General features: G+C 51.4%; 1 protein-coding gene across 5 annotated transcripts in view, besides 12 other annotated features; it reads left to right on the top strand.

The window, feature by feature from the left end:
- Positions 271-1,064: an enhancer, noted in NCBI's record as "OCT4-NANOG-H3K27ac-H3K4me1 hESC enhancer chr18:46486583-46487376 (GRCh37/hg19 assembly coordinates)". NCBI's record gives its function as "activates a minimal SCP1, AML or CMV promoter by ChIP-STARR-seq in naive H9 embryonic stem cells {active_cell/tissue: H9 hESC(naive)}" and the evidence as "EXISTENCE:reporter gene assay evidence [ECO:0000049][PMID:30033119]".
- Positions 1,065-1,858: an enhancer, noted in NCBI's record as "OCT4-NANOG-H3K27ac-H3K4me1 hESC enhancer chr18:46485789-46486582 (GRCh37/hg19 assembly coordinates)". NCBI's record gives its function as "activates a minimal SCP1, AML or CMV promoter by ChIP-STARR-seq in naive and primed H9 embryonic stem cells {active_cell/tissue: H9 hESC(naive and primed)}" and the evidence as "EXISTENCE:reporter gene assay evidence [ECO:0000049][PMID:30033119]".
- Positions 1,859-2,652: an enhancer, noted in NCBI's record as "NANOG-H3K27ac hESC enhancer chr18:46484995-46485788 (GRCh37/hg19 assembly coordinates)". NCBI's record gives its function as "activates a minimal SCP1, AML or CMV promoter by ChIP-STARR-seq in naive H9 embryonic stem cells {active_cell/tissue: H9 hESC(naive)}" and the evidence as "EXISTENCE:reporter gene assay evidence [ECO:0000049][PMID:30033119]".
- Positions 8,229-8,568: a silencer, noted in NCBI's record as "silent region_9441". NCBI's record gives its function as "represses an Ori minimal core promoter by ATAC-STARR-seq in GM12878 lymphoblastoid cells {active_cell/tissue: GM12878}" and the evidence as "EXISTENCE:reporter gene assay evidence [ECO:0000049][PMID:35858748]".
- Positions 9,139-9,838: a silencer, noted in NCBI's record as "silent region_9440". NCBI's record gives its function as "represses an Ori minimal core promoter by ATAC-STARR-seq in GM12878 lymphoblastoid cells {active_cell/tissue: GM12878}" and the evidence as "EXISTENCE:reporter gene assay evidence [ECO:0000049][PMID:35858748]".
- Positions 10,312-19,946, top strand: part of SMAD7 (SMAD family member 7) — a 31,113-nt gene continuing 21,478 nt past the window's right edge. Inside the window, exons 1-3 of one of the 5 annotated variants that reach the window (NM_001190821.2) lie at positions 10,312-11,465; positions 12,840-12,893; positions 18,725-18,796. In NM_001190821.2, the coding sequence (NP_001177750.1) occupies positions 10,853-11,465; positions 12,840-12,893; positions 18,725-18,796 (739 nt within the window). In that variant the 5' untranslated portion in view covers positions 10,312-10,852. Of the gene's footprint in view, positions 11,466-11,943; positions 12,049-12,839; positions 12,894-18,469; positions 18,797-19,946 lie in introns of those variants that run through there. The other 4 variants (NM_005904.4, XM_047437509.1, NM_001190822.2 and 1 more) reach the window with 4 other exon arrangements.
- Positions 11,055-11,374: a silencer, noted in NCBI's record as "silent region_9439". NCBI's record gives its function as "represses an Ori minimal core promoter by ATAC-STARR-seq in GM12878 lymphoblastoid cells {active_cell/tissue: GM12878}" and the evidence as "EXISTENCE:reporter gene assay evidence [ECO:0000049][PMID:35858748]".
- Positions 12,415-12,614: a silencer, noted in NCBI's record as "silent region_9438". NCBI's record gives its function as "represses an Ori minimal core promoter by ATAC-STARR-seq in GM12878 lymphoblastoid cells {active_cell/tissue: GM12878}" and the evidence as "EXISTENCE:reporter gene assay evidence [ECO:0000049][PMID:35858748]".
- Positions 12,415-12,982: a biological region, named in NCBI's record as "NANOG hESC enhancer GRCh37_chr18:46474665-46475166".
- Positions 12,481-12,982: an enhancer, noted in NCBI's record as "NANOG hESC enhancer chr18:46474665-46475166 (GRCh37/hg19 assembly coordinates)". NCBI's record gives its function as "activates a minimal SCP1, AML or CMV promoter by ChIP-STARR-seq in naive and primed H9 embryonic stem cells {active_cell/tissue: H9 hESC(naive and primed)}" and the evidence as "EXISTENCE:reporter gene assay evidence [ECO:0000049][PMID:30033119]".
- Positions 18,185-19,384: an enhancer, noted in NCBI's record as "P300/CBP strongly-dependent group 1 enhancer chr18:46468263-46469462 (GRCh37/hg19 assembly coordinates)". NCBI's record gives its function as "activates an origin of replication core promoter dependent on BRD2, BRD4, P300/CBP, MED14 and CDK7 cofactors, with strong dependence on P300/CBP, by STARR-seq in HCT116 cells {active_cell/tissue: HCT116}" and the evidence as "EXISTENCE:reporter gene assay evidence [ECO:0000049][PMID:35650434]".
- Positions 18,185-19,826: a biological region, named in NCBI's record as "P300/CBP strongly-dependent group 1 enhancer GRCh37_chr18:46468263-46469462".
- Positions 18,869-19,826: an enhancer, noted in NCBI's record as "H3K4me1 hESC enhancer chr18:46467821-46468778 (GRCh37/hg19 assembly coordinates)". NCBI's record gives its function as "activates a minimal SCP1, AML or CMV promoter by ChIP-STARR-seq in naive H9 embryonic stem cells {active_cell/tissue: H9 hESC(naive)}" and the evidence as "EXISTENCE:reporter gene assay evidence [ECO:0000049][PMID:30033119]".

Below are 19,946 nucleotides of genomic sequence, written 5' to 3'. Positions count from 1 at the left end.
CGGCCTCCCAAAGTGCTGGGATTACAGGCGTGAGCCATCGCGCCGAGCCGAGGCCTGTTCATGTTCTGCCTCTTTGGCTGTAATGGTGGCTGCCTATGAGAGGCATGGGTGGCTGGCAGCCCAGGTAGAAGGAAGCCTTATCTTTTTCTTCCTCCCCTTTTGTATTCTTGGAATTGTGTACCATTGTGCATGCATTGCCTATTCAAAAATCAATAAAATAGAAAAAGCAAAGAAAAAGTACCAAATAAGATGGACTGAAGATGGAGACTCTCTGGGCTATGTAACGTTTATAATCCCTTCTGGCTTGAACCTCATTTTACTGCATTTCTCCAGATTTTTCCTTTATGGTCTACCAGACTCTAACAATGCTAAATAACATCATCTTCCCCCAACTTTGAAAGCCTTCAAAAGAAATGTTTATGGGATAGAGGGGGATCAAAACTAAATTGGGCACAGCAGAATCCTGCCCACTGGGTAACTCCTCTCCATGAAAATGAATCCCTCTTCACTTCCTCCTTGTATCTCATAATTACCAGGGGAGATATCTCCAGGACACAGGAAAATATGTATGACTCATAGTAGTACTAGAAAAGAACTAAAAACACTTACATTGTTTCCTCACTTATCCCTCTCTTATTCCAACAGGGAAAAGATTTCCCTAGGTTTATTTGTTTGTTTTTAAACTCAGACGCTAGCCTTACCTCTTTGACAGAGTTCTAACTGGTCCTTATAAAACCCACACAAGGGGCCGGGCATGGTGGCTCATGGCTGTAATCCCATCACTTTGGGAGACCGAGGCGGGCGGATCACTTGAGGTCACTTGAGGTTCGAGACCAACTTGACCAGCATGGTGAAACCCCGTTTCTACTAAAAATACAAAAATTAGCCAAGTGTGGTGGTGCACACTGTAATCCCAGCCACTCAGGAGGCTGAGGCAGGAGAATCGCTTGAATCTGGGAGGCGGAGGTTGCGGTGAGTCACGATCCTGCCACAGCACTCCAGCCTGCGTGACAGAGCGAGACTCTGTCTCAAAAAACTGAAAACAAAAAACCCCCACACAAACAAAATCCCAGCCACTAGAAAAAGTAGCTTCCTTCTTCATTACCCTATCACTTGGACAATTATCTCCTCTAAAAATTCATTTCCTAGGCACGGAAGATTAGGCAAAATGTGCTTATTGGGCAGCTAGGACCTCAGAATCCATGATAATATGATAATTAGCATCTGTATACCACTTGGTTTACATAGCACTGGGGCTCTTGTGGTGTGAACGTCTCCTCCCAGCAACCCCACCGTGAGGACTTTGTTCTTGGAGCCTCACGCTGAGTCTGGCACACAGAAGACACAAGACATTGTTAATTCAGTGTTTGTTGTATGAGGAAGGTAGACAGACTGGAAACAGACTTCCCTAAGGTCTTATAGCTAGCAATGGCAGAAAAGTCTATTGAATCCTAAAGCCGAGCTGAGGGCCTTTCTATTCTCCTAGGTCTGCGTTGGGAGAATGAGCAAGATGCCTTGGCCCTCACTCCTTCGGTGGGTCCCAGCACGTGCCAGGGGCAGCATGTGCGGTCACCTGTATGACCCCTTTGCTCTAGTCCCAATTCCCTACTACAGATAAAACATCATTCACCCCTCCGCAGGCTTTCTGTTCTGAATCACGATTACCAGCATGTCTCATAGCTCAGATCCTAACCAGCACTTACTAGGCAGAATTCAGCACTTAAGTGACCCATTAAGGACTTTTGGCAGAGGAATGGGAAAGATAAAAATAGGAAAAAAATCAGAAAACAGAAAAGGATAATTTGGTAGCCCAATGTGACCAGGAACTTGGAGCTGCCCAGTTGAGTGGCTGGAAGCTGGAATGAAGAACTTGTCTGCAACATGGCCAGTGAGAAATAACACCAGGACCCATCAGGGTCCATCTGGGTTAGGCTCAACACTGATTTCCTTGCTTTGCTGTCTTTAAAATCAATTTTTTAGTACCTGTAGGGATCAGCCAACTGTATGTCTCACCGTCTATACGATAATGGCAAATAATAATTTTTTGTTGTTGGCATTTGAGAGCATTATTTAAGTACCCCCATTACTGAGGCATCTCAGCCAACTTCCCTGCTGAGGGTACTTCCCTTCCACTTGTCTTAAAACTGGCACAACTTCCTAACATGAACCAGTTTGACTCAAGTAAGGCCTGCTCTTGATCTGAGGGGTGGAGATCGTGGCGATCTCTATAGTTATTTGAGGAGAAACTTCTCTGTAACCGTAGACGATCTAGTGTTTTTCCTCCAATGTTTTCTACAGAGAAAACTGCCTTCTGAGGGAGATGCCCTCCCAGACCACCCACTGCAGGGACCTCACTTTCATCACTGACTTCCTATGGCTTGGGAGTGTTTATAAAGTTATACACTTAAGTGATAAGTGTGGCTTGGGTATTGAAAAGTTAGCTCAAAGAAAACAAAATTTCGTTCCTTTTTTTTCTGTCACTTAGGCTGGAGAGCAGTGGTGCAGTCTTAGCTCACTGCAGCCTCTACCTCAGGGTCTCAAGTGATCCTCCCACCTCAGCCTCCAGAGTAGCTGGGACTACAGGCACGCACCACCACCCCCAGCTAATTTTTGTATTATTATTATTATTATTATTATTATTATTATTGAGATAGAATCTCTCTCTGTCACCCAGGCTGGAGTGCAGTGGCGCAGTCTGGGCTCACTGCAACCTCTGCCTCCCGGGTTCAAGCGATTCTCCTGCCTCAGCCTCCTGAGTAGCTGGAATTACAGGTGCCAGCCACCACGCCCAGCTAATTTTTGTATATTTAGTAGAGACAGGGTTTCACCATGTTGGTCAGGCTGGTCTCGAACTCTTGACCTCAGGTGATCCACCTGCCTCAGCCTCCCAAAGTGCTGGGATTACAGGCGTGAGCCACCACGCTTGGCCATAATTTTTGTATTTTTTGTAGGGACGAGTTCCCACTATGTTGCCCAGGCTGGTCTCCAACTCCTGGGCTCAGGCAGTCCTCCCACCTCAGCTGTCCAAAGTGCTGGGATTACAGGCGTGAGCCATCACACCAGGCATTGTTCCAGGTGTGGTGGCTCATATTTGTAATCCTTTCTTTTTTTTTTTTCTTTTTGATAGGACAATTAGGACTCTGATCACCTTTGCCTGGCTAGTCAACTCAGCTAATCTAGTCTAAAATATTTCTTCCTTTGGGAAACCTTTTGAGGCCTCTCCCAGACAGAATGAGTCCCTTGACTTTCTGTTCTTAGAGCCAGTGCCTCCATTCTTGCTGCTGGGGTAACACTGATCCCATTTCATGAGAGTTTGTGGCTCTCCTAGACTGTGGACTTCTTGAGGGCAAAGGCTGATTAATCCTCACATTTATAACCCTCAGAGGTCTCTCCTGGATCCTGACTCCAATCAGCTCTGAATCAGTGCTGGCTAAATGAATTGAAAATCATGTGAACACGTTTCTGTTCCAAAAAGCAAAGCTCTCATTTTCTCAGATTGGGCAGGCTCCTTCCTGTGCCTGTGTCATCCTGACAGCCGTATTTATCTTTTTTTTTTTGAGATGGAGTCTCACTCTGTCGCCCAGGCTAGAGTGCAGTGTGGTGATCTCAGCTCACTGCACCCTCGGCCTCCTGGGTTCAAGTGATTCTCCTGCCTCAGCCTCCCAAGTAGCTGGGATTACAGGAGCATGCCACCACGCCTGGCTAATTTTTTTGTATTTTTAGTAGAAATGGAGTTTCACCATGTTGGCCAGGCTGGTCTCAAACTCCTGACCTCAAGTGATCTGCCCGCCTTGGCCTCCCAAAGTCCTGGGATTACAGGCGTGAGCCACTGCGCCCGGCCCTGACAGCAGTATTTATTAGGCTGTCCATCCCAGGTTAGGACTTGCACCTGACTGATATCTGGAATGACTTTTGATTAGGATGGGCATGTTTCCTCGCTGACTCTGGCCAGGCTCATGACGAAGCAGCCTCCACCCTTGCTGTCTGGGATGAGACATTGGCCTCTGTTGTTACCAGCCTCTTCCTGTAGCAACTGCCTCACAGAGAGAGAAGCTGTCTATAGCATCATTTCCACGTGGGACCTTGCCAACTTGTCCTTTTCTACAAGGACATCAGAACAACGAATTTCAGGAAATGAGAAAAGCAAGCAGAGATTTGAAAACAATTTAAATCTGTTTATTTTTGAATAAGTAACACATTCACACGGTTCACAATTCAAAAGGTACAAAATTATACAGAGTAAAATTCCCCTCCCAGTTCTGTTCTTCAGCTGTCCAGGGGCCCTCCTTGGAGGAAACGGCATCTAAATGTGACTGTAGATTTGAATGTCTCTATTGTCCTCACTCTTTACCTTTTCTGGATGTTTCTCATCTCCTCCATAGCAACATTCATTTCATCCTGCCCCCATTCCAATCCCTGATACCTAGTTGCATGCTCTGGATAGGCACCTGGCAAATGTTGGGGATCAGCTGACAGCTTGTCTGTAATCCAAGAATATTTGTGGAGTCCGGGCTTATAGTATTTTTGTTTGATAGTGAATTAGATGCATTTTCATTCACTTATGTTCCTGTTCTTCCAAGAGAAGCCAAGAAGCGTTGATTGTCCCATCAGCCTTCCTTGTACTGTCTTCTTTTCATAAGCCATCACTTCCATTTGTATTGTTGCCAGTTGTGCATGGTTTAGGGCTCACTCACACATTTTTCAGGGGATGATTGTGCAAGAAATGTTGATGTTTTCCAGTACTTTTTTGGTCTCCTCAATGGTTTCTTCTTTTGGCTTGTGCAAGAAAAAAATCTTTACCCCTGTCCTCACTCCCATCAACACACATCCATACATGCTTTGGGGCCTCTCTCTGCCCTTCTCTTCTGGAATCCACTGACAATGAGCAAAGAACTGAAAGGCAGAATCCTGTCTTCTCTAGACAGGCACTTTTCAGCTTTTACTTATCATTGTTTTGAGGTGTCAAGAGTTTTGGAGATTTTTTTCCCCTCCTCTTTCTCTCTCAAGTCAGGCCCCTCCAGAAGCCTGCCTCTCCCCTTGGCAGGTGTGGAGAATTCACCTGCTTTTTCGGTCACTTCCTGTGCACTCTACTGCCTTCCCTGGCTGCTCAGAAAACATGGGCCTTGGAGCAACTTCCCTCGACTTCCTCTCTCCTCTAGATTCCTAGCCAGCAGCCGGTCAAGAGGCAGCCCCACAGTCCTCTGGGCGGCAGTGGCCGGTGATTAAGTAGCCAGGTCTTTAGCTGATTCCATCCTTGTTTGTCATAACTCTGCTGCAAGTTATTTTGGTCTCTGTGACTTGTGGCGGCACCATGATTAGGGTTTGATTACTATCACCAAAGCGACTAAAAGATGAAAATAGAAGCCACAACAGGAAATAAACAACTGCAAATGAGCTATTTTATTCCATATTCCCTGCCAGCAAATGATTAGAATCAAACTCATTCACAATAGTTTGGTGAACTCTTAAACTTTTTTCTTAAGGGTCAGAATAGTCTGAAACTGCGTGTTTGTTGGCCTCCTTTGTGCCTGTGGAAGGGAAAGAAAGAAACTACCTTTCTAGGCACACCAGCCTGCTGGGAATTCCTCTACTGCCAGGCTTCTGGCTTCTTTCTTGGAGAGGAGAGGGATAAGAATGTGATGGGGTGGGGCTATCAGGAAAGCTGGGATGTTAACTGATTCAGGGGATGCCAGGGAGCTATAAAGCAGCACCAATCATTGTAGCTACTTGCTCAGCACCGCACCCAGCTTCTACCTAGGGTAGCAAAATGGAAGAGGAAAGCCGTGTAGAGAGGGGTGACACCTGAATTAATACACCTACAATTACACTATACGGGAACATATCTCTGCAAGTACATGCATGTTCCACCCAGACAAACCGTGACGTCAGACTCCACTCTTGAAACACCCATGAAACCTACCTGCCCTGTGTGTGCTCCGGCCTCTCATTACAGAGCCTTAGCACTACTGGCCAGATCTCCAAAAGATTCTTCAGATTCTCCATTTAGCCAAGAAACTGAATTAGAATTATGACCTCTACTTTCTCTGCTTATTTAAGTCCTTTCTGTTGCTATGAAGCCTGGTCTGACCACTCTCAATAAGTGAAGATCTTTTAGGGAGATCCAGAACAGAGAGGGAATGGGACCCTAGAGAGCGGAAACTTGCCCAGAAAATCTTATAAACTCTGCCAAGTGCTCGCCTAACGTGGGGATTGCTGTTGGCCCTAGTTGCTTAACCAGTGAGCGGCAACGCCCCAGCCTGGAATCAGGTTTTCTGACCTCTAGTCTGGTACTCTTTCTAAGCCTTTCTAAGGTGAAAATATGATACATTTCCCAGACACCTTAAAAATCCCATTTCTGGGCCGGGCGCTGTGGCTCATGCCTGTTATCCCACACTTTGGGAGGCTGAGGCGGGTGGATCGCCTGAGCTCAGGAGTTCGAGACTAGCCTGGGCAACACGGTGAAACCTTGTCTCTGCTAAAATACAAAAAAATTAGCGAGGTGTGGAGTGCACGTGTAGTTCCAGCTACTAGGGAGGCTGAGGCAGGAGAATTGCTTGAACCCAGGAGGCGGAGGTTGCAGTGAGCTGAGATCATGCCACTGCCCTCTAGGCTGGGTGACAAAGCAAGGCTCCATCTCAAAAAAAAAAAAAAAAAAAAAAATCCCACTTCTGTCTCTTTCGTCTTCCCTTGCCTATCATGATAGGCCTCCCAAAGTGCTGGGATTACACTCCTTCTCCATTCTCTCCTGTGCTTTCTCAGCTGCTGTCTTCACAGGTTGCTTCTTAGAATGTTTTTTTAATACACACACAAGGTTTCAATGCCCTTTTATACAAGCCATATTTTAATTTACAACAAAATTATGATGTTATACAACTGCAGCTTATGTGGCCTTACACAGTAAATGTTCAGAATGGCAGCTTCTGTCCGTCCAGTAGGGTTCTGCACTGCTTGGCATCCTACTATCTTCCAAGTCAATAAGTGTTAGGATCTCCTTGCCTGGAAATGATCATGTAAGCAATGTTGCTGATTTCCTCTTGAATTTATATTACCAAAGGTACTTTTGGTGGGGTGGAGGAAGGGTCCAAATGCCCCTTAAGCCCTAAGTGTTGATTTCTAAATATTTATTAAGCATCTACTATTGTACTAATATGTTAGAAATCTTTTTAATTGCTAGAGGGGGAGAGGACTTGAGCTCTAAAGGCGGCTAAGATTCATTCCTGCCTTTTCCTTTTAAGAACATATAATTTAGCCGGCAAGATGTACATTTCATCTTTACTTTTCTTTTTTTCTTTTCTTTTTTTGAGACAGAGTCTCACTCTGTTGCCCAGGATGGAGTGCAGTGGCGCGATCTCAGCTCACTGCAACCTCCGTCTCCCGGGTTCAAGCAATTCTCCTGTCTCAGCTGGGATTACTGGCGCGCGCCACCCGCCTGGCTAATTTTTGTATTTTTAGTAGAGACGGGTTTCACCATGTTGGCCAGGCTGGTCTCAAACTCTTGACCTCAGGTGATCCACCTGCCTCAGCCTCCCAAAGTGCTGGGATTACAAGCGTGAGCCATCGCACCTGGGCACATTTCACCTTTTCTAAAGATTATTTTAAGGCCAGGTGCAGTGGCTCACGCCTGTACTCCCAGTACTTTGAGAGGCTGAGGCAGGTAGATCACTTGAGGTCAGGAGTTCCACATCAGCCTGGCCAACATGGTTAAACCGCGTCACTACCAAAAAATACAAAAATTAGCCAGATGTGGTGGCGCGCGCCTGTAGTCCCAGCTACTCCGGAGGCTGAGGTGGGAGAATCGTTTGATCTGGGGAGGCAGAGGCTGCAGTGAGCCGAAATCGAGCCACTGGACTCTAGCCCGGGTGAAGAGTGAGACTCTAAAAAAAAAAAAAAAAAGAAAGAAAGAAAGAAAAAAAGATTCTTTAAAGCCCCCAACGAGTTTCACTGCTGGCCTGATCTCACAATTCTCAATGGCTTTTTAAAAAAATCGTATTTCACTGAATATGAAGTGAGGTTAGATCACCATGCCAACTAGTGGCCTCATCAATACTGATGTGTGTGTATTTAAATCATTACGTTTCTCGGAGCCATCAGCTTTCACGCTGTAAATGCGTTTATGCCCTAGCAATGCCATGCCCGTTTCTATGCAGTAACCCGCCAGCTTGGGTATATGTTTCTTCGGGACCTGGGGTCAAGGAATAAACTCTCTGACTCTAAGCACCTTGAAAGCTACGAGGCCCAGAAACAGGGCCTGCATGCAAATGAATGCCCTAGGCAGGTCTGCTCGCTGGGTAACCTTCCCGCGCCGGGAGGCAGGGTGGCGGGTGGCGGAGGTCTTCCGGGCCCGGGAGGAAACCTGCCCGCGGCGCGCAGGCGAGCCCCCACCCCCGCTCCCCTTCTCCCGCCGGGATGCTGCCCCTCACAGCTCGTCAGCCGGCCAAATGCATTCCAGAGCTGTGCACAAGACACACTTCTCCAGGCAGTCCTAGAAACCGGAGCCCGGAGCTGAGAGGGCGGGAGGGAGCGCGCGGCCGCCGCTGAGGTCATATTCACGCCGCCTCCCCGCCCTCGGCGGCTGTTCCCCTCAGCGCACACTTCCCAGGGCCTCGGTCCAGTCCGGTATAAATGTCTTTTAAACCGAGACAGCGCTCTCCTCCCCTTGCCCTCGGGCGCGGCCAAGGGATCCACCGCCAGGGCCTTTAAAACAAAACCAATGAATGAAGCGCTAGGGCGAGCGCGCGCGAGATGGCCACCGCGAAACCCAGCCGGGTCGAAATCGGGCCACCGACCCGCTCGCTCAGCTCCAAAACTCGCGGCGAAGCCCGCTCGGTGCTCCCTGCTTTTCCAATTTCTCCATGGCTCCGGCCGGGGCTCAATCCATTCTGGGAGCTTCTCTGCCCCCCACCTATCTCTCTCCCCTCCATCGGTACCCCCTCTACAGACCCGGGAGGGGGTGGCGGTGGCGGGGGGTTGGGGGGAGAAATAGCTTTTAGAAACCCGATCTGTTGTTTGCGAAACACAATCGCTTTTTTTTTTTTTTTAAAGCGACAGGGTGTCTAGACGGCCACGTGACGAGGCCGGAGCCGGGCGCGCCACTGCGCAGTGGAACCAGCCGAGCAGAGGGCCGGAGGGGGGGTGCGGGGGGGCGGGGAGGAGGCGGCGCGGCTGCGGCGGCTGGGGGCGGGGGAGGGAAGGGGGAGGAAGGGGGAGGGAAGGGGGCGGGGGCGGGAGGCCTTGCGGGAGGCGGTGAGCCCCGGGCACACTCGCTTGCTGCTCGGCGCACGGAAGATCCTGTCCCCGAGCCGCGCCAGCCGAGCCAGCCGGGCGCCGTGCTCGGTCCGCTCGCCGCGCGGGAGAGAGCTGCCCGAGACAGAGCCAGTCCGTCGGCGCCGAGCCGCCGAGCGCCCGGCCCCTGAGCCCCTGAGTGCGGCGCGGCGAGCCCCTGGCGGCGGCAGAAGGACCGGAGCGCCAGGAGAGGGCGGACCGGGGACAAGGAGGCTCCCGGGCGCGACGAGGAGAGTCTCGGAGGAGGAGGCGCCGAGAGGACACCGGGGCCTCCTGCCGCCGCAGCTGGGTCGAGGCGAGCAGCCCATGCGGGGAGCCTCGGCGGCCAGCCGCGGCCAGGGGAAGGGACATCGGCGGCCCCTGCACTAGCAAGCAGCTTGTGCCCGGGGGGGGCGAGAACGCGCGACCCGTCTGGGGCCCTCCGCCGCCGCCGCGCCACCCTCCCCCGCGCTGTCAGCCCCGCCGGGCTCAGCCGCCGCCGCAGCATCTTCTGCCCCTGCGCCCGCGCCAGCCTCGAGGAAGTCCCCGCCGAGGACCTGGGCCCCCAGGAGCGCAGGGGGAAAGACCAGAGACTCCCCTAAACCACCCAGATGCGCAGGATTGAAGCGGTCTAGCCAAAGCTTTCTGTGGATTAAAAAAATACACGATTTTTTTTTTTTTTTTTGGCAGAAGAAAAGGAGAGGAAGACCAGCGGGGCTTTGCAAGGAAACGGGGGGATGTAACTCGTGGATACATTTTTCCACCCATCAAACATCTTGTTATACTTTGTAAACATTTTCTTTTTTTAAACCCCAGTTCCAGCCGGACGCCCCCAGACCTCTGAGGTTCGAGGAGGTGGTGGTTTTCATTTGGGGCTTTGCATATTTGGTTGTTAGGTTTTGCGAGAGCCTTCTTATTTTGCCAGACGTCTCATGCGGGGTGAAGTCCACTCGGCCCCCTCCCCTGAGTCTTCGTGTGCGCGGAATTCGAGGAGATCCGGTTACTAAGGATATAGAGGAAAAAAATAAATCGCTTGCTTTTTTTTTTTTAATTGCCTGCTTCTCCCCACCCCCAAATTAAGTTGCTTAGCAAGGGGGAAAGAGGCTTTTTCCTTCTTCCAACAGCCCAGCCGAACGCCTTTCGTTTTTTGCCCCCGCGGACCTTCCATGTAGGAAGCCGAGGCTGGCGAGCCCGACATTCGGGAGCCACTGCGGGGGGGCCTCTTTTTGGGGAGGCGCCGACGGGGGCAGGCTCGGCCGTCCCCAGGGAAGCGGCGGCCGGGTTCCTCCGGGGCGCGCCGGGGCCGGAGAGCCGCGCAGGGCGCGGGCCGCGCGGGGTGGGGCAGCCGGAGCGCAGGCCCCCGATCCCCGGCGGGCGCCCCCGGGCCCCCGCGCGCGCCCCGGCCTCCGGGAGACTGGCGCATGCCACGGAGCGCCCCTCGGGCCGCCGCCGCTCCTGCCCGGGCCCCTGCTGCTGCTGCTGTCGCCTGCGCCTGCTGCCCCAACTCGGCGCCCGACTTCTTCATGGTGTGCGGAGGTCATGTTCGCTCCTTAGCAGGCAAACGACTTTTCTCCTCGCCTCCTCGCCCCGCATGTTCAGGACCAAACGATCTGCGCTCGTCCGGCGTCTCTGGAGGAGCCGTGCGCCCGGCGGCGAGGACGAGGAGGAGGGCGCAGGGGGAGGTGGAGGAGGAGGCGAGCTGCGGGGAGAAGGGGCGACGGACAGCCGAGCGCATGGGGCCGGTGGCGGCGGCCCGGGCAGGGCTGGATGCTGCCTGGGCAAGGCGGTGCGAGGTGCCAAAGGTCACCACCATCCCCACCCGCCAGCCGCGGGCGCCGGCGCGGCCGGGGGCGCCGAGGCGGATCTGAAGGCGCTCACGCACTCGGTGCTCAAGAAACTGAAGGAGCGGCAGCTGGAGCTGCTGCTCCAGGCCGTGGAGTCCCGCGGCGGGACGCGCACCGCGTGCCTCCTGCTGCCCGGCCGCCTGGACTGCAGGCTGGGCCCGGGGGCGCCCGCCGGCGCGCAGCCTGCGCAGCCGCCCTCGTCCTACTCGCTCCCCCTCCTGCTGTGCAAAGTGTTCAGGTGGCCGGATCTCAGGCATTCCTCGGAAGTCAAGAGGCTGTGTTGCTGTGAATCTTACGGGAAGATCAACCCCGAGCTGGTGTGCTGCAACCCCCATCACCTTAGCCGACTCTGCGAACTAGGTGAGAAGTTGTCCCCCTACCCCCAACATTTTCCGGAGCGCCAGTGCTGGAAGAAAAGCCCCTAGGGCAGTGCGTTTGTGCAGCCATCCCTCCAGGGGGAGTGTGCATACCCTCCTGGGAGAGTGTGCATACCCTCCTGGGAGAGTGTGCATACCCTCCTGGGAAGAGACTGGGGGCTGAAAGTAGAGAAGGGACAAGGGGAAACTCAAAGGGCATTCCCTGGGGGTTCCCTTCCAGGTTTTCTCCTGTGTTGCCCCGAAGGGGTCTACGGGCACTGCTCCTGCAGTCTGCGGTTAAAAATTAGACGCCTTCATTTCCGGATCAACAAGGGGGTGCAGAGGGAGGTGGGGGGGTCACGCCTCCCCGCACCCGGAAAGACGTTGAGGTGTGTGGCCGAGTTGGATTTGGTCCAGGCCCGCCAAGGAAGGCTGGGAGAGGCGTGCTATAAAGGCTGGAAGGTCTCCGTATTTACTCCTTTAGTAAATACGGAGAATCACGTCGAACACCAGTGGCCCAGATACTGTCGTGGCCGCGCACCTTTGGAGTTTTGGGGCAAAGAGAGTTGGATGGAAGGCCGAACTGGGTATCTGTCTCCTTTCAACTCTGCCAGCCCCAGGGTGCAGAGGAACAAACAGGCAGGAGAAGTTGGGTGTCCCCTACTTTTTCCTTCCTTCCGCACAGATAAGTCTGTAGATTAGTGGGGCCCCGGCGCCTCAGTGACGTTGTCGCCTCTTACTGCGCTGGGGCCTGGGCTTCTCGGCTGAGACCCTGAAACTCCTTTCCTTTTATCCTCTCAGCTTTCTCCATTCCTTCCTTTACTCTACGTCTCTGTACACAGAGTGTGATGTGAGGGTTCACCCCGGGCGCCCGCAGATCCCCCACGTTCCCCAGCACGCTTGGGATGCATCTCCCGAGTGCGCTAGGAATGGGCAGCCCCGTGTCCCCCGCGCGAGTGCCGAGCGGACCGGCGGGGGCAGAGGTGAATTGCACGCCTGGGGGGCGGGCCGGGGCGGGGAGCCGAGGTTGCTGGGAGCTGGGTCTGGAGTCCGAGGACGGGGAGGGGGCATGGTCGCCCCCCGCCCTGTGAACTGTGAAGTGCGCGGCTCCGGCCGAGCCGGTGGTTTCCAGCCGGGCCAGCCGAGCGCGGCGGCTGCGGCCGCAGACGTGGAGGAGCGGAGCGCCGAGGCTGGCGCCAGGCGGCCTCTTTTGTTTATCTGACAGCTAAATATCAAGGCAATCACCGCCTCGCGGCCCTGCCTCCAACCCCCACAGCTAAGACAAACAGTTGGGCTAAAAGAATGCCTCTGTTATCATAAGTTTCTATCTCTCTTCTCATGGCTGGGCCTTTATTTTCTCTTGCTTTTTTAATTTCAGAGTCTCCCCCCCCTCCTTACTCCAGATACCCGATGGATTTTCTCAAACCAACTGGTGAGTAGATGATTTTTAAAATATCCTGCTTATCTTAAGTTAGAAATAGAGCCTCTAGAACGTGGCTTTTTGTGTGTAGGCAAAGGCTTGGGGAGGTGCTGGGCTTCACGTTGGTTCTAGGTTTCCTCTGTTGGAAGTTTGGTGAATTTTTCTGTTGTGGCTGGGTTTTTTGCTGTTTTTGCAAAGACGTTCCCTTGATATGCTTTACATTTTGTTCCTTTTTCATGTATTTGTGCTGTGTAGCCGGTGGGCTCAGCTTTAACACGTGGAAGCTTTAGTCCAGAGAGAAGTGTCTTGGGAACCAAATAGGACTGGTTGATGGGGATAACTCGGAGACTTAGTGAGTGCCAGGAGCATCAGTGGGAATAATGGAAAGGGTGATTCGATAGATGGGAAGACGGTTTAAAAAGGTGCAAAGAAGACTTTGGTCTGGAGTAGACACTAGAACTTTTCAGAAGTATAGGCAACAGCCAGTAAAAGGGGGGGGGGGGTAGGTTCCTCCTGCTCCAGTCACCTGCAAGTCAGTCCTCTCCCGGGGTTTTCTCAGTATTCGCCATAGGGACTATCAAAGTTTGAAGCATAGCTCTGCCTGTCTGCTGCTTTGTCACTGGCTGGCATGAAGCCATGGCAGAAGCCCATTTGAGACTGGCACCAGCCCTGTTGTGGTTGTCTGCATTCAACTTCTGGCCGGCAGCAGCACAGGGGTCCATCCTCTGGACATCACAGTGCTGGGGACAGGGTCAGCAAAATGAACTTGGGGGTGACAACAAGGACAAACCCAAATTCCTGGAGCTCCCTCTTACAGTAGGAGATAGATCTGTTTGCTAAAAGTACAGGTTGTATGTAACCTTGGTTTTTGTGCCTGTATACTGGTGCCTGAAAAAAACATTAATACTTGGGACATTTTTATTTTGCCAAGGTTCTGGGAGAAGGAAAAGTGAAGGGTTGGGCACCATTTAGCTCCTGGAATTCTGCAAGTCCTTCCGCCTCCTGCGTTTTGGCTGTTGGGCCTTTCCCCCCACTAATTAAAAGTTTTGCTGGGGCGTTGTCATAAATTAAATACTTTAATGAACGTGTAACCGAAGCCCATACTCTGCAGCCAGTCCTCCTGGGACTCTACCAGCTCCCTCAAGTTGGGAAGGCGTTCCTGCTTGCCTGGTGCCGGTCTAATAAGTGGCCCGCAAAGCATGTGATATTTTGCTTTCGATTTACAAAACACCAGATAAATGGTTATTAATAAGGAGATACCCAGCTCTCTGTATTTGTAACAAACGTTAACTGGAATTACCAAGCTCTGTTTTCCTAAAGACTGTAACTTGACTGGGTTTTGGCTTAAAGAATCAAGAATTCTTTTATGAAGTTCATTTTCCAAGGGGCCACCTCTGACCTGTTTTTTTTGTCCTTCCATATTCTTCAAATTTGGAGGTTTTCCTTAAAAGAGAGAGAACAGTGACCTTAGCCCCAGGGATAAAGACCAGCAGGGGTAAATGTTCCCAGAAACCTCCAAAAACCATAGAAAAGAAAGGCCATGTTCCCTTGGGTTTCCTGCAGAGACACTGGGATAAATCTGTTCTCAGGATTTAAGCAGTCATTCTGCCAGGCCAGGGCCTCATTTTCGGTGAGTGGAGTGATATATTTATTCATTAGCAAGTGTTGACATTAGGTAGCAAAATGTGTGTAAACAGAGAAGCCACAAAGACAGGAATGTGCCATTTCCAAGGGGGAGAAAAGTTCTCCAGATCAGCCAATAGGAAGTGATTAACCTGCCAATCGGAAACTAAGACAGCTGGTTACTCACCCAAAACGTTTTGTTGAAAATAGAACAAAAAAAGAAATGAGAAAAGGCGCTGCTGTGTAAGAATTTAGCATCAGTAATAGACAAAGCCCCCACGAAGGGAATTGTCCTGCCACATTGGAGGACAGCCAGGTCTGGAGCTGGAGCACACCCCCCCCGCCCCCCTCACAGGTCTGGGGCTGGTTTTGCCAGCTGCTGTGGCCGGGGGCATTGAGGTCAGACCACAGATGGGCGCTGACCCAGGTCTTCATCCCCATTTTGCGTATGGGAGAATGTTTGGCCCGGGAATCTACATGGACCATTTACATTCTTCAGTTTCTATGTCCCTTAGGTTGAATTTTTGGTCTTGGGTTACTAGATGAAACAGGCACAAAGTTTTACAGTGGACAACTGTTAAAATCTTAACCAGTTGCACAACTAAAGGAATACATCCTGTGAAGTCTCCATCTTAGGAAAAGGTGGTGGGAATGGGGCTGGGGCCTGGTACCCTGCAGCCTTTGGAGACACAGAGGGCTCAAAGCTAGGAACTCCATTTTGCTATAATTTAAGCCACTCCACTCAGCATCTGGGAGGCCTGGACTTTAGACACCTAGGTACTGTGTGGTCCAACCAGGAGAGCCTTCTTTGAAAGAGTGTTCACATGACTGAACCTAGGGGAGGCCAGTTGTGACTTGTGGCTGTCAGAAGTCAGAAAGACACCCCCACCTCCACATCCCACAAGAAGTCAGAATTTGCTGTTTAAAGCTGGATCTCGGGGATAGCTGTGTGGGCTCTGCTTCCCGTGTTTCATTGTATCTGATGGTCTGAAAGGTTTGAGGAATGGCTGGCCTTGGGGGGTTGCTGGGTGAGCTCTTGAGGGACCCAGGTGGCCAGTATCCATGGGCAGATCCAGCCTGCAAATCCAGATCGGAAGTCTGGTGTCTTGACCTGAGATCTGGCACTGCGTTTCTCTCTTAACCGAGGTCCCTCTTAACTTTTCTAGGCCTCTTTTAAAATCAGCATGATGAAAGAGATTAGGTCATTCATTCATTTATTCATTCATTGGTTCAGTCATTCATTTTACAGGCATGATGATGTGCCTACCTAGAAATTTGAGGATTCCGATGCAGTGCTGTGTTCTTTTTTTTTCCGAGACAGTCTCATTCTGTGCCCAGGCTGGAGTGCAGTGGCCCGATCTCGGCTCACTGCAAGCTCCACCTCCTGGGTTCACACCATTGTCCTGCCTCAGCCTCCCGAGCAGCTGGGACTACAGGTGCCCGTCACCATGCCCAGCTAATTTTTTGTATTTTTAGTAGAGACGGGGTTTCACCGAGTTAGCCAGGATGGTCTCGATCTCCTGACCTCGTGTGATCTGCCCACCTCTGCTTCCCAAAGTGCTGGGATTACAGGCGTGAGCCACTGCACCTGGCAGTGCTGTGTTCTTTTATAACCAGGGTTCATTTGAGTTCTGGGTTGGTTGAACTACCTGGGGCAGAGCTGGGACCCTTGGGGTACAGTGGTGAGTAGGGGCTCCTCTGTCTTTAACAGTACTTAGGAAGCTCAGAACGCAGTTGCTGAGACTATCGTGGGACTCCCAGCTCCTTTACCTTGTACTCATTCTCAATAGTTCGCTCCTTGGCTGCTCCCCAGGGTTGGGTTTTCAAAGACTCTGTTGGAGCTGCTCGGAGAAAGGAATGAGTCTTTTTCTCTCGCAGAACCTAGTGCTTACCAAGTGCTTGATAACACTTAGTGTTGCGTGAGTCAGGAGTGGCCTAGAGCTTCTGTCTGCCAGCCAGCCTGGGCTCTGGGGAACAGGCGACACAGGCCTAAGGTGAGACCCTGACTTCAGAGATCTGTCTATGCGGAGCTTTTCTGTGGGTGAGAGATGGAGGTATGGCTCCTTTAACCTTGAGGCCAGTCTGGATGGCCTGGCCACCTCCAGGAAAGAGGGTAGGGACTCCATAGCCTGCCTGGGGAGTGAGAGCCATGGGATAGGGCTGGACTCTTGGGAATAGCCCAGCTCACTGGGTGGCCCTTTGAGCTAGTCAGTGACGCCTCAGTTTACCTGGCTGCCTATGGAACAGGTATACTTTGCTTCTTCACAGGGGTGGTAGGGAGGCTTAATTAACGTTTGTAAATCCCTCTTGAGATCAAAGCCACTGCAGAAGGGCAGAGCACCATTTCACAAAAATGCTTGTGGTTGCCTGTGTGGAGCTGGCTTACCTTTGATCTGAGATGGGCTGACACCCTGAATGTGGTCTCAGCTCTGCTCTGAGATGCCCGGCTTTTCCTTTGAAACACACCTTGCCCCTGGGATTCTGCCAGCCAAAGGTGGCGGGGAGTGGCTGTGGATAAGTCATTATGTTTAATGTGGGGGTGTCTTCCATCTGGGAGGAGTGGGTGGAGGAGAGGGTTGAGAAGCCTATCTCTAGAAAATGATGAAGGCCATCAAAATGGTTTAGAAAGTGCAGGGTATACACCATTTAACAAGTAACTCCATTTCCTGCCTGCCTCTATTGTTTTCTGTTTGATTAAGTGTATCCTGTAAAACTGTATATTCCTGTTAGGAATTAGACTTTACCCTGATAAAATGAGATTACACACACAGTCTTCTTTCCCCCTACCCACCGCAGCCACCTCACCCCCACGCCTGCCTCCACTTCTGCCCCTCGCCCGCTTAGGAGAGTTCTTGAAAAGTTGTCCTTCCAGCCTTGAGAATGTGGGAGAGGGAGTGACCCTGAGTTAGAGAGAGAAACTTAGCATTAAGAGGGCAGACAGCAGAAACCCAGAGATGGTTTGGGGCTATGTGTAGGCCACTAAAGGATTCCCATGGGCTACTTGCCCGTCTGCTCTTTTTTTTTGGCTTTCCTATTTGCCAGCATGGCCAAGTGGTTCCAACTGGAAACCCACAGGGACATTGTCCTGGTGGCCTGGGGTAGGAGGCCTGGTGTCTGCACGATCCAACCTGTTGTGTTTGCTGCGGACCTGGGCAGCACCTTTCCTTAGCCGGGCTCTCCGCTAGGACTTCAGGGAGTTTGGCGCTGCCAGTGGTGCATGACAAGCTTACAGGGTCTTGTGTATTTGTGTTTCATGGGACTAATGAGTTGTGGTTCATGGACATTAGGTTTTGCTTTAATTGCTTGGAGGGCGGTTGTGGAGACTGTTTCTCAGCTGGAATTGTCATTATCCTCATTAACGGTGAGGTCACTGTGCAGAGTACCTGAGGGTGACAGAAGTTGAAGAGAAGTCTAGTTAAGGGCAGATGCAATCTAAAGGTAAAAATCAGTGAGGAAACTCCGAGTGTTGGGTGCCAAATGTTTTATAGGAACTGAGGGCAGAGAGCCTTAGCAGGTCTGGGGTTGCCTGGGAAGGTTTCCAGAGATGAGGGGTTTGGACTAGCCTGGGAGAGGTAGAACATTTCCCCTCCGGCTCGGAGCCTTGCTGAGAATGTTCTCTGTCTTGATCTGGTGGTGGTTACACAGATGTATACATGAGTAACATTCATTGCGTCTACTTGGGATTTTGTATACTTTGCTCTACTTAAGTTAGTCCTCAATTAAAAAAGGGGAAAGAAGTCCCGGCAGCCCAACATCAATCTTGAGAATGTTTTCAAGAACTGGGAAACCTGTCTTTAAAAGGATGAAGGCAGAGAGGACATGGGCTCCAAGGAGAGAGCCTTCTGCCCTTGATGAGGGATGACAGAGCAACCAGGGTTGAGAAAGTCCAACCCAAACCTCCTTTGACCTTGGGAACCACCTGGTATCCGTAATGGGGGACTGGTAATGCAAGAGAAATTCCAGCCAGTCTCATTGAGCCTGACTCGAGTAATGATTAACTGGCTGCCCGGAGCCCAGACGGGTGACAAGGTGCTGTGGTCTGTCTTACGATGGGCAGTGAAGCCTGAGCAGACCATTAATAATCAGCATCAAGGCCGCGAGTCAGCCTTTTGGAATGTGTGGTTTGTCTTTCATGCTGTTTAGAGCGTGCTTAAAGATGGATCTTGGTGTTTTTATTTGTGTATTTATTTCTTTCTCTCCCCTTTTCAAATCCACAGCAGACTGTCCAGATGCTGTGCCTTCCTCCGCTGAAACAGGGGGAACGAATTATCTGGCCCCTGGGGGGCTTTCAGGTAAGATGCTTTCTCTTATTTTCCTGGCAATTCCAACCTTTTTTGAAATTGCTAAAGACTGGAGGAATGGGGGTGGCCTTCTGCCACCCCAGCTGGTCTGGACTTCATTCTCATTTTTATATGCCTTAAGTTGGATGCATCGGTGGTGACATTGTGGTGCCCTTCAGCTCCTCATCCTGCAGTCCTTTACGCTCTGGACACTGGATCCGTTCCGTGGACGGGGAGACAAGAGCGAGCTGGGGATTGCTTTGGTGTGTGAAGTGTTGCCCGGTTATTTTTAAGCAGCTCCTGGCTTGGGGGGCTTCAGCTTGGTGACTTTGGTGTCATTAACTCATGCATTTGAGCTCTTTTTTTGCTTTTGCTCTTTGCGCATGGGGGATGTAAAGGGAATGGACCCACCTTTAGGGAACTTGTTGAAGACAGATCCCAAGCATACGATGGGATTTCAGAGTAGATCTGAGGCTTCCCTCCCAAGTTCTGATTCCCAGCCCAGCCTGCTGCAGGATTTTGCAGCACATGTCTGGGGCTGGGAGCACCAGGGTGGGAGCACTGCCAACAGTAGGAGCTGTAATTGTTCCCTAGCGGGGCAGGTTTTCCTCAGGGCTCACAGGTATGCGTGAAGGCCTGGAATGCCAGTGCTGGGGGGTCACGGGGCTGGCTGACAGGCACGGGGTAGCCAGAGCATTGTTGTTCCTGAGGATGCGAAAAGAGGGCAGTACTTAGAGAAACTCACTGGTTATGTACATGGGACGCATTTCATGTTGTTCTGAAGAAATCCTATTTCTACCTGTTTTTCCATCCCCACCATGTCATCACTAGATTTTCTAAGAACTGGCTGAAGCAAGAGGGAAAACGACCTTAAAAACAGAAATTCCAGCAGAGTTTTGGGCATTTGGCATTTCCTTGCCTGTAGGATCACGTGGTAGCAGCTCGAATAGAAGCTGTGCCCTGTTGTGGTGTATCCTCTTGTGTGAGGGGCACCCTTTTTTGTGGGGTACCTGCTCTGACTACTTGGTGGTGTGTCTTCCATGGCTGGCTCAGGCAAAGTTCATTCCCGGACGGCTCCCTCCCCGGCTCTCCTCTTCAGGAACTGAGCTTGCTGAGAACGTCTTTAGGGAGACCCTTGTTTGTTTTCATTTCAATGCAATAT

Source organism: Homo sapiens, chromosome 18, assembly GCF_000001405.40.
Source record: "Homo sapiens chromosome 18, GRCh38.p14 Primary Assembly".
In the NCBI taxonomy this organism is placed as follows: Eukaryota; Metazoa; Chordata; class Mammalia; order Primates; family Hominidae; genus Homo; species Homo sapiens.
Note: the sequence above shows the minus strand (reverse complement) of the source record. Positions and strands in the feature narration are given on the sequence as shown.